The following is a 13,324-nucleotide window of genomic DNA, read 5'->3' on the forward strand; positions in this document are numbered from 1 at the left end:
GTATTACCACATCTCTCTCCTCCTTAGCACTTCACAACTTTACATTTATTTGTGCAATTATTTGCTTGATCTCTATCTCCTCTTCTGGATTTCTTAAGATCCATGATTACAGATACATTACTTTAGTTACATTTATATCTCTAATGCTTAGCAGAGTTCCTGGTGTAATAAGTACTCAATAAATATTTGAGTGAATGAATGAGAGGAAAATATATGCCTGTAATCCCAGCACTTTGGAAGGCTGAGGCAGGAGGATCACCTGAGGTCGAGAGTTTGAGACCAGCCTGACCAACATGGAGAAACCCCGTCTCTACTAAAAATACAAAATTAGCTGGGCATGGTGGTGCATGCCTGTAATTCCAGTGACACGGGGAGGCTGAGGCAGGAGAATCGCTTGAACCCAGGAGGTGGAGGTTGTAGTGAGCCGAGATCATGCCATTGTACTCCAGCCTGGACAACAAAAGCAAAACTCTATCTAAAAAATAGATATATACACACAATATATATTATATATAGTATATTATATATATTATATATAGTATATATAGTATATTATAGTATATTATATATATTGTATATTATATATAGTATATTATATATATTGTATATATAATATATATATTATATACGTATATACACATGCTGTGCTTCATAGACAATATTGTAAAAGTTAAATCTACGTAAATTAATCTGTACATGGATTATAATGACAATCAGAATAGCAACACAGCAACAGCAGTTTGTTTTGTTTTGTTTCTGAGATGGAATCTTGCCTGTGGCCCAGGCTGGAGTGCAATGGCGCAATCTCGGCTCACTGCAACCTCCGCCTCTTGGGTTCAAGCAATTCTCCTGCCTCGGTCTTCCATGTAGCTGGGATTACAGGCGCCCGCCACCATGCCTGGCTACTTTTTTTGTATTTTTAGTAGAGACAGTGTTTCACCATGTTGACCAGGCTGGTTTCGAACTCCTGACCTCAAATGATCCACCCGCCTCAGCCTCCCAAAGTGCTAGGATTACAGACGTGAGCCACCGTGCCTGGCCAACAGCAGCATTTTTTGAAACTTGACAAAATGTTAGTATTAGGATTCATCTAGATTCCAGAGTTGCAAATAGTTGCACAACAATGTGAATGCACTTAATGCCACAAAACAGCATATGTAAAATAGTTAAGATGGTAAATTTTTTTTTTTTTTTTTGGACAGTCTCTCTCTGTCGCCCAACCTGGAGTGCAATGTTGCAATCTCGGCTCACTGTAACCTCCGCCTCCCAGGTTCAAGCGATTCTCCCTGCCTCAGCCTCCCGAGTAGCTGGGATTACAGGCACCCACCACCACGCCTGGCTAATTTTTGTATTTTTAGTAGAGATGGGGTTTCTCCATGTTGACTAGGCTGGTCTTGAACTCTTGACCTCAGGTGATCCACCCGCTTTGGCCTCCCAAAGTGCTGGGATTACAGGCGTGAGCCACCGCGCCTGGCCGAAGATGGTAAATTTTATGCTATATAAATTTTACCACAATAAAAAAATCTGGCTGGCAAAAAAAATTTATCTAGAAACATGAGAATAACCCAAAAAAACACTTAAAGAGAAATAAAAGATGCCTTGTTAGAAATTAAAACATATTATAAAGCTACTTGAAACACTTTGTAGCCAGATAATAAATCAATGAAGCTGAATAAAAAATCCGGAAGTAGATTAATATTTATATGGGAATTTAGTATATAATAAGGATGACACTTCAATTCAATGGGTAAAAGATGGATTATTCAACAAGTTTTGGGGAAACAAGAGCACCATTTTTAAAAGGCTGAATTTGAATTATCAATTTCTTTAGAAAACTGGAGAAACAAGTCCTCTCATATGCCACTAGTGATACTATAAATTGATATAATCCATCTAAAGGGCAATTTGACGATATTGATCAACATAAAAAAATCCACTAAAGCTTTGACTAATCAATTTCACTTCCCACAAATGCATAAAGATGTATATGCAAGGATGTCACTCTGTCGCTGTAACGTTTATTTTTAATGTATTTCTAGAAAGAGAGAGAGACAGGGTCTTGCTCTGTCACCCAGGCTAAAGTACACTGGTGTGATCTCAGCCCACGGCAGCCTTAACATCCTGGGATCAAGCAATCCTCCCACCTTAGCCTCTAAGTAGCTGGGACCACAGGGGTGGCCACCATGCGTGGCTATTTTTTTGAATTTTTTGTAGAGATAGGGTTTCACCATGTTGCCCAGGCTGATCTTGAATTCCTAGGCTCAAGTAATCCGCCTGTCTCGGCCTCCCAAAGTGTTGGGATTACAGGTTTGAGACACTGAACCTGGCCCAGAATCTATATTCTTTGACACATAAGAATTGCACATATTTATGGCGTACAATGTGGTATTTTTATAGTATATAATGCATAATAATCAAGTCAGGGTAATTAGTATATGCATCACCTCAAACCTTTACCATATCTTTATGTTGAGAACATTCAAAGTCCTCTTTTCTAGCAATTTGAAAATATGAATAAATTATTTTTAACTATATTCACTCTACGGTGCTATAGAACACTAGAATTTATTCCTCCTAACTGTAATTTTGTATCTGTTAACCAGCTTCTCTCTATTCCTCTCCTCCCCCTATCCATCCCAGCCTCTAGTTACCACTGTTCCACTCTCTACTTCTATTTGGTCAACTTTTTAGCTCACTGTAACTTTCAAAACCTTGCAATATCACTTTAAAAAACAAAGAAAAAGAAAAGAGTAAAAAAAGAAAGAAAAAACCCTTGCAGTGTCCTAAATATACAAATAGAATACTAGCTAAAATGTCTAACAAGAATACTATAATATGCTGGTTGCGGTGGCTCACGCCTGTAATCCCAACACTTTGGGAGGCCGAGGCGGGCGGATCACCAGGTCAAGCGATCAAGACCATCCTGGCCAACACGGTGAAACCCTGTCTCTACTAAACATACAAAAATTAGCCGGGCGTGGTGGCACATGCCTGTAGTCCCAGCTACTTGGGAGGCTGAGGCAGGAGAATCGCTTGAACCCGGGAGGCAGAGGCTGCAGTGAGCCAAGATTGCGCCACTGCACTCTAGCCTGGCGACACAGCGAGACACTGTCTCAAAAAGAATACAATAATATACAGCTATTAAAATTAGGTAGATCCTTCAGATACATTTCTAAGTGAGAAAAACTACAGAGCCATATACATAGCTCACTTTTATTTAAACTAGCTTTTAAAAGGACATATATGTGTATATGTGTGTATATATATACATGTGTATATGTGTATACACACACACACATATACATGTATGTATATATACATATATATACTTATATAATACATATATATGTCACTTTATGTATTTTTAAAAAGTCTACAGAAGAACTGGTTAACAGTGGTTACCTGGGAGGAGTGAGATTATTTGACTTTGGGGGGGGGGGGGGAATTCTAGTTTTCTTTTTTACCTCTCAGTTCTGTTTTAATTTTATTTAACTATGAGTAAGTTTTATTAATTTATGATAAAGTTTTAAAGTATTAATACATCAAAATGGCCACATAAAACAGCTACATGAAAATGTCATGTACCCATTCAGAAATCTTTGCTGCAGTCCCCCTTTACAAAAAAACTGCCTCTAAACTCTGAGAGCAGGGTCTCTGAACAGAATAAATACCACATAAAAACTTGTTGTTTCAGGTATCAATTGTAAGGAGAGATTAGACTCTCCATTGTCTAAAGAAAATTAAAGTCTAATTACAAAGTTGTAAAGTATTTATGTGTAAATTTAAAAAGACTTCCATCAAAAGGGGCTTCCTTTTTAATACTCAACTAATTAAAAAATAAATCAAATACTTAATCTCAAAGCATTTGGTTAATTTTAATTGATATTTAACTATATATCAATACACTTTAATGTGTAAATTAGTTTTTTTTTCCCCTGGGGAAAACTACTATTCCTCTCTTGTGTGCTTACACATATTACTATTTTTTCCAAAAATAAATGTAGGTTTCATTCTACTGAGAACACTCTTTATAAAAATATCAGATTCCTATTCTAGAAATACCATACAGAGAAATGGGACAATCTTTTTTAAAAAGTGCCAACCTCTATCAACAGAATTTGTATTGAGCATTTATTTGTGAAACATTTATATATTGAGAGCTTTGAAAAAGGCAGGTTATGTAGGTTAAGATCCATCAATATTCCTAATGATGGCTTGGGAGGTAATATTGGAAATACCTATAAAGCATTAGTCATGCCCTCTTTCAAGCAAGAAGAACTGTGGAAGTCTGGCAACAAAAGTTTCCAAGCTGGTAATATGTAATACATTTCAGACTGTTATAGTTTGCACTGGTAATTAATAATTAATACATTTCAGACTGTTATAGTTTGCACTGGTAATAATTAACAATTGGAAAGTCTTCATCCTCTTGCTATTGATTTTAGACCCAGAAAAACATTCTTCACCTCTGCTCAGTCCTTGAGCAGATGAGATTCCTCATGGGAATCTTAAGCTCCAATAGCATGAGAGTTGTGCATTTCTTTCCAGCTGTTCACTTTTATAATTATTATGGCACGAATTAGTGGGGTTTTATTCTGCAAAAAAAAGAAATGTCTTTTTTTTTTTTTTTTTTTTTTTTTGAGACAGAGTTTCGCTCTGTCACCCAGGCTGGAGTGCAGTGGTGTGATCTCGGCTCACTGCAACCTCTGCCTCCTGGGTTCAAGCGATTCTCCTGCCTCAGCCTCCCGAGTAGCTGGGAATACAGGCACACCACCACGCCTGGCTAATTTTTATATTTTTTAGTACAGATGGGGTTTCACCATGTTGGCCAGGCTGGTCTTGAACTCCTGACCTCAAGTGATCTGCCAGCCTCAGCTTCCCAAAGTGCCTCTCTCCTTTTAAACCAAATTATTTGTAAGGAGTATTTTTGAGAAAGGAGAAATTATTGTTTTATATTGGCAGTGCCTCAGTAAAACACTGTCAATTTAAATGTTGATAAACATTTAGATTATTTGGAACGTGGTAGTTTATGCTATTGTACAATTATTAATTACCATTAGTGATGTGTGATTTTTCAGCATTAATTAAAATTTGGATATAGGAAAGAAAAAGAATAATGTGCCTGCCTTTTATTGATGGCAATAAATTTAAAACACATTAGAAAATTAAAAATGAATTACAAATATGTTAAACACATGAATTTAAAACTGAATCATAAACATCAACCATTTCAAAGTTACATGATAATTCTTAAGCATGGGTCATTTAGAGAGTCATACAGTTACAAGACAAATTAAAGAAAGTAAATTTAGGAGAAGGAACTAAGATGTCACTCTTAAGAGTGTAAAAAATGCTTTGAAACTGATGGTGCAGATGTTTATTAAACCAGTACTACGATTTTCATTATAAATAAAATGTTGATTACTAAAGAGCATTTTCAATTTTTATCTTTAAAAAAAAAGAAAAATCAATGATCTTGGCCAGTTATACCAACACAAAATCACACAATTATTGATCTAAATGGTGGGGTCTTAGACCTTCCCTTGCCGATACAATGTTGACAAATGCAAAGCTGGCACTTCCAGCTTCGTGCCCATAGCACAGACTGGTGGAAATTACAAGGACCAAATCAGAGTCAGCAGAGAAGGTAAGGGAGGGCCTTGGGTAGCGAGCACAGGTTCAGCCAAGTCAGCCCTATGACATGTAAATACTGGCTAAATAGCCTGTTTTCTGACCCTGCATTGATATTATACAAAGAGGCTAGATTTTACTTACTTTAGGTTAAGACCTTAAACAGTCACAAGACTGAAAGGGAGAACTCAGCAAGCAGTAGCATGCTTTCTAGGTGAAGGGATCTTTTTAAGGGATCTGATTAGTTTGAAATGCAGTGTAATATGTAATGGAGCAATGTAAGAGATGTACAAATAAACTTCTTTTAAAAAGAGAAGATTTTTACTTATTTATTTTGCAGGGCAGGTGCTGCAAATGGGAAGTGAGCCAAAAATTAAAACTGTTCCTCACAAATATGTCATAAATTATTGTGTACAGTTTTGACATGTTAGGCATTGGCTCTGCATGCCTGAGACTTCTGAGTTCAAGTCATAGAGAGGAGGTCCTCTCACTTGTGGGGATTGCTGATTTCAAAGGGAATTTTTAGATCCTCAACGTGAAAAGATGATATTTTTTCCAGCTCAAATGTTTTTTTAATAGATCACAGCTGGCCAGTCTGGTCCTCAATACCCTTAAAAGACTGTTAGTCTACCCCGACCACTTGAAAGGGTTTAGCATTAGAGAATCTAGGTCAGGCCAACGAAGTGGATTAGTAACTTAATAACTATGTGGTTTATTTAATGAGAAACTGGTGTTACAAGACATTAACTTGCGTGTGCATCTGAATGACCTAGCGGGCTTGTTAAACAAATTGCTTGGTCTTTGGCCCCCACGTTTTTGATTCAGTAAGCCTGAGATGGGGCCCAGGAGTCTGCATTCCTAACAAGTTCCCAGGTGATGCTGATGATGCATATTAAGAATCACTGCTCCAGGTAGTTCAGCTAATTCCCTTGCCATGGTTCCCTAATATCCTTGTTGTTTGACAAATGCGAGATAAAAAGTAGATTAATGACTGGGTGCACTGGCTCATGCCTGTAATCCCAGCACCTTGGGAGGCTGAGACAGGCAGGTCGCTTTAGCCCAGGAGTTCAAGAGCAGCCTGTGCAACATGGTGAAACACTGTCTCCACTAAAAATACAAAAATTAGCTGGCCGTAGTGGCGTGCGTCTGTAATCCCAGCTACTTGGGAGGCTGAGATGGGAGGATGGCTTGAGGTGGAGGCTACAGTGAGCTGAGATTGCATCACTGCACTCCAGTCTGGGCAACAGTGACATCCTATCTCGAATGAATGAATGAATGAATGAATGAATGAATGAATGAATAAGTAGATTAATGGTACTAAAATTTATTACTTAAGATCAGGTGCTACAGTCATTTGGGAGTTACTGTTCACTTTAGGTTTTACCTTCTTCTTGATTCAAACAGTCTGATCTTAGATTCAATGAGAATTAAAAACTGTATATAATAAAATTCGTTCTAGCATGTACTATCTACCTATTTCATAAATCTTAACCTCGGATACGTACTTACCATCTCATTCCCTAATTCCTTTTTCCCTTTATTCGTTACAATCTGACTACTGCCACTACCACATACACCATTGAAATTGTTCTCTTCAAGGTAAACCAGAAACTCATGTAAGATGTCTGCCTTCAGCCTGAATCTCTTTACTAGTGTTTGATATTGTTTATTGATCACTTTGTTCTGAAAACTCTCTTCTCCCTATCAGTGTGGATTTTAGGGACCTTTTCATTGGCTCCGTCGTCTTCTATCTCCTCTCCCCCTTTCCCTAGGCAGACATCATTAACTGATCGTGGCACTCCTAGGGCTTCACAGCATAACCCAGCAGGAAAATGCTCTTAGTTGATTGGTGTTTGTCTGTGAGATGAAACGTGTTGTGAAGGCTCCAAACTATCTCCAGGCCAGGCACTGTGACTCACACCTGTAATCCCAGCACTTTGAGAGGCCAAGTGGGGGGAGATCACCTGAGGTCAGGAGTTTAAGACCAACCTGGCCTACATGGTGAAACCCCATCTCTACTAAAAATACAAAAATTGGCTGGGCCTCGTGGCACATGCCTGTAGCCTCAGCTACCAGGAAGGGAGGCTGAGGCATGAGAATTGCCTGAACCCGGGAGGTGGAAGTTGCAGTGAGCTGAGATTGTGCCACCACATTCCAGCCTGGGTGACAAGAGGGAGACTTCATCTCAGGAAAAAAAAAAAACAAAAATAAACAAGAAGTAGAGGAGAACAGCGAATGGGAGTAGAGCATGTCTGTGTGCTGTTAGGAGTGATTTAGTAGACTGGGAAAAGTTGATGTTTCAGGATAAAGATAACTCCAGGAGAGAAATCCTATATGAACTCCAAGAGATATCATTAATTAAAAAAAATGGGGGGGGGGGGAGTGTGGGGAGGGGACTTGCAGAATACGTACAATATATTTTTAAAAACCTAAACTTTATATAACACAATTATATATTTCAATATATGTAAACATATAAACACACACACACACACAGAATATATACTCCAAACTGGCAACAGTAGTTAATTCTGAGAATACAATTATTATAGTGGGCAAAGGAGGACTTTTTTTCCCAAGTATATAATATATTGCTATTAACTATAGTCATCACGAGTTAAAATAGATCTCTTGCACTTATTCCTCTTGTCTGAAATTTTCTTTCCGCTCATTCATTGATGGACACTTAGGCTACTCTAAGTAATGCTGCAATAAACTTGAGAGTGCAGATATTTCTTTGATATACTGATTTCAAATCCTTAGAATATATATTCAGCAGTGAGATTACCGGATCACATGGTAGTTCTATTCTTAGTTTTTAAATATCTCCACACTGTTTTCCATAATGGTTGTACTAAAAAGAGGATTTTTGCTGTTCTTGCCATTTGAATAATAAAAAAAAACAACCCAGCAATGTATCTATAGATATCTTGTGTAATTTTTTGTAGCAAGTAACTTCTCATTTCCATGAAATAATTTCACTATATAAGAAAACAGCTGACTGACATTCAAGAATAACCTCATGTTTTCTAGCAGAATTTCTTATGAAATTTAAAAAAGACTTTCTGCAATAGGCACTGTTACATTCTAGAAATGTTCTAATAAAGGTACTGATTTTTTTTGTTGTTGTTGTTTGTTTGTTTGTTTTTTGAGACAGAGTCTTGCTCTGTTGCCCAGGCTGGAATGCAGTGGTGTGATCTCGGCTCACCACAACCTCTGTCTCCCAGGTTCAAGCAATTCTCCTGCCTCAGCCTCCTGAGTAGCTGGGATTACAGGTATGTGCCACCACAACCGGCTAATTTCTGTATTTTTAGTAAAGACAGGGTTTCACCATGTTGTTTAGGCTGGTCTCGAACTCCTTACCTCAGGTGATCCACCCACCTCAGCCTCCCAATGTTCTGCTTATTTTTAAAAAACCTTTATGAATAATGTGATTTGCAATTTAAAAATTTATTACAAGGATCTCATTTTCCAAAATATGATTCTGTAAAGTTCATATGAGATTTATGAGGTAGTTTTACATTCTTTTTCCAGTTTCTCTTTTCTTAGTTCTGAATGAGATTTCTAAAGGAGAGATTTTCTTCTCTGTTTCCTTTACATATCCATCTCTGTAGCTGGCAAGATTTGTTGAATGAATTCTAGAATTACTGAGGTCTTTGGGGTCTAATCTGTCCCTCTCCCCCTCCCCCACTTTTTTTTTTTAAACAAAGAACTATCCGTTTAGAGCCACTTCAGCTCAGAACTACTTAGATAGTAGGTTGGATTAGGTTACTTAGGTAAAGTGACCTATTAGTTACTTTAAACCTTGAGATTTAAACAAAAGTTATGACTCTTCTAAAGCAATTACCTCACTTTCTTTGGTGAAACTTGTTAATTTCCTTAGAGGGGTGTATATACAAACTTTTTAGACAGGAAAAGAGGGGAAGGTTGCTTCAGTGACAAGACATGCTCTCCCAACTCTATTCCCTCAGTGAAGGTGCATTAAAATTCTTTTTGTTAAATTCCAGAATCCTAATAGAAACAAAAATACTCCATTTCTTTTTGCACACTTGATCTAACAGAGTTTATTAAATTTTAATAGTGAAAGGGCTCTTAGAGAACATCAAGTCTTACCTCTTCATTTTATCTGTGAGGAAATCATTTATCATTCTGGTGCTAGTACCTAGTTGAAGGAACTTACAATTATAGTTCAAGACAAAACAAAGTCAAAACAAAAATCCTGGTCCTCTGACTTCAGTTAAACACTTTTTTTTTTTGAGACAGGTTTTCACTTCTGTCACCCAGGCTGGAGGGCAGTGGTGTGATCTGGACTCACTGCAACTCTGCCTCCTGGGCGCAAGGGATTCTACTGCCTCAGTATCCCGCGTAGCTGGGACTACAGGCATGTGCCACCATGTCCGGCTAATTTTTGTATTTTTAGTACAGACAGATTTTCACTGTGTCACCCAGGCTGGCCTTGAACTCCTGGATTCAAGCGATCCATCCTCCTTGGCCTTCCAAAGTGTTGGGATTGCAGGTATGAGCCACCACACCCAGCCTCAGGAAAAAAAAAAAAAAAAAAAAGACACAGAATGGGAACATGAAAGTCAGTACAGGTTTGGCACCAGCATCTTCACAAAGAATAGAATTCAACGCAAACATTTTCACAGTAAGTCAATAAAGTGGTACGTCAGGATTTGGGAAATGCCACTGTTTGCAAGCACAAATCTAAAGTCTGTTTTATGACAGACTTGCAAGGGCAAGAATATGGTATAACATATCATGACTTGGAAAAGCTTAAAGCCTCCCAAAGACAGAAATCTGTAATCTTTCCCCCCTACTTAGGAAACTATCTCATGGAAGAGTCACCAAAGTTTTCTTTGAAATGGGAGTTTCAGGTTGATACATAAGGAATGGCTATCTTTACAGATCGGCAATGGCTAGTGACATGTTTGTGAGCCAATTATAAGGTAAATGTAAGTCAGTATGGTCATCATGTCTTTTTTTATAGGTAATAGACAAACTAATGAGGAAGCCATTAGCCTCTCTGGAATAATACCAAATCAGGAAGAAAGTAGGTGGTTATGGGTGTATTGTGGATTACCTTACAGATGCGGAACATATTCAGGGTATCTCTGTGATTCTGTTAGAAAACATTCTTCCTACACCCATGCCACAATCTTCACCAACAGTTGAGATTAGCCAGATGTGTGGTCAGGTCTGATCTCAACGCATAAAGGGAATCTCATGATCTCTTAAGTATGGTGGGATGAGAAATAAGTTCAAGAATACAGTTCCATAGTGAGCAGCAGGTATATTCAAACCTACCCCTAAAGCCCAAAGAATAAGGCTAACAAATCCAATTTCTCAGAAAGAAAATATTTCACAGAGATTTGAAAACATAAGCAGTATCTCGGACAACTGCGAGATGGTGGATCCTCACACCCGTCCTCCAGAAATTATCCTTTAGAAAGCAAGCCTTGGGCCAGGCACGGTGGCTCACGGCTGTAATCCCAGCACTTTGGGAGGCTGAGGTGGGCAGATCACTGGAGGTCAAGAGTTCGAGACCAGCCTGGCCAACATGGTGAAACCCTGTCTCTACTAAAAATACAAAAATTAGCCATGGTGGCACATGCCTGTAATCCCAGCTATTCAAGTAGGCTGAGGCATGAGAATCGCTTGAACCTGGAAGGCGGAGGTTGCAGTGAACCGAAATCATGCCACTGCACTCCACCCTTGGTGACAGAGCAAGACCCTGTCTCAAAAAAAAAAAAAAAAAGAGAAAAGGAAAAAAAGCCTTTAGGATAAAGACATGTGCAGCTGTTACTTTCTTGTGGAAACTTGTGACTACTGGGGAGGTCAGATAAGCATCTTTATGAGGGTTGTTACAGGCATTGTTTAGAGAACTTGCTGCAGAACACTTTGGCATGCAGAGTCAAACATTAGTCATTATGGAGATTTCACTTCAAGATGTTATCACTCTTGCCATGCAACAGGCTATTTTCCTACAAACACCAACTTTATTCCCAGAGCATACCTGCAAATCCTAGATGGAGTATCTTGGAAGCTCGTCTTCCTTGTAGAACACATTGTAAACTCCTGGTCTGTAATAAAAGTAGCTAGGTCTGCAGACTCTTAACCTAATGACGTCAATCCTCATGGCCTGTGCGTAGGTTTCCAGGTAAGTCATTAGTTTGTTATACAACCTTCTTGTGAGGGCTTGGAAGGTGAGGGGAGTATAGCTTCACATCCAAAGTTCTCCTAACTTCCTGGGGACTCCTCTTCTAAATAACAGCAATTATAGCAGTCATGATACCATGTCACCAAAATTCACACCTTTGGGATTTTTCATATAAAATCTAGGATTAATATAAAAATTGCCTTTTTCTCCTCTTAATAAGTAAACATGTAATTGTCTTCTGCTATCAGATTTTAAAAAAAAACCAAACACTTAATAATGAAGTATATATCAAAAAATATTTTTGATTACCTTCACATTAGGTGTAATTTCACTCATGAGCTAAGTGAGTAATAGTGCAGCCCTTCTACTGGCAAAGAAAGACACCACTTCACCACACCTATTGTTTACTGGATATTTTAACAAGCTCTTCAACTTTACTCTTACTACTCCCTTGTAGGTACCCTGATGCTCCAGACAAACTACTATTTGTTTGCCAAACATGTCTAACACATTCCCATCTCCATGCTTTGGTTCATCCAATTTCTTTTTCTTTTTTGAGATGGAGTTTTGCTCTTGTTGCCCAGGCTGCAGTGCAATGGCGTGATCTCGGCTCACTGCAACCTCTGCCTCCTGGGTCCAAGCGATTCTCCTGCCTCAGCCTCCCAACTAGCTGGGACTACAGGCACCCACCACCATGCCCGGCTAATTTTTGTATATTTAGTAGAGACGGGGTTTCACCATGTTAGCCAGGCTGGTCTCAAACTCCTGACCTTGTGATCTGCCCACCTCAGCCTCCCAAAGTGCTGGGATTACAGGAGTGAGCCACCGTGCCCGGCCAAATCAATTTGTTATTTTAAAAATTTACAACCTTTGTTCATGAATACTTTACAAAAGATTTTGAGAATATACTGCTAAGAAGCAAATATTTAAAAATTCTTATTTGTAAAGCTATTTAAAAAATTTTATGGTGACAAATGTTGCAGGATTATTATTCAGTTTTTTTACTTTTAAGATTGTTATCACAGATTTCAACCAGTGTTATTAGTCTGTTCCTGCATTGCTATTAAAAACTACCAGAGGCCAGGCGCGGTGGCTCACACCTGTAATTCCAGCACTTTGGGAGGCTGAGGTGGTTGTATCTGCTGAGGTCAGGAGTTCGGGACCAGCCTGGCCAACGTGGTGAAACCCTGTCTCTACTAAAAATACAAAAATTAGCTGGGAATGGTGGCATGCACCTGTAGTTCCAGCTGTTCAGGAGGCTGAGGCAGGAGATTCACTTGAACTTGGGAGGCAGAGGTTGCAGTGAGCCAAGATCATGCCACTGCACTCCAGCCTGGGTGATGGCAAGACTCTATCTCAAAAGAAAAAAAAAAGAACCTACTGGAGACTGGGTAATTTATTTAAGAATAAAAAAAAAAAGAGGTTTAATTGGCTCATAGTTCTACCAGTGGTACAGAAGGCCTGGCTGGGAAGCCCTCAGGAAACTTACAATCATAGCAGAAGGTAAAGGGGAAGCTGGCACATCTTACATAG

The sequence above is a fragment of the Homo sapiens genome, chromosome 14 (genome assembly GCF_000001405.40).
Source record: "Homo sapiens chromosome 14, GRCh38.p14 Primary Assembly".
Taxonomy (NCBI): domain Eukaryota; kingdom Metazoa; phylum Chordata; class Mammalia; order Primates; family Hominidae; genus Homo; species Homo sapiens.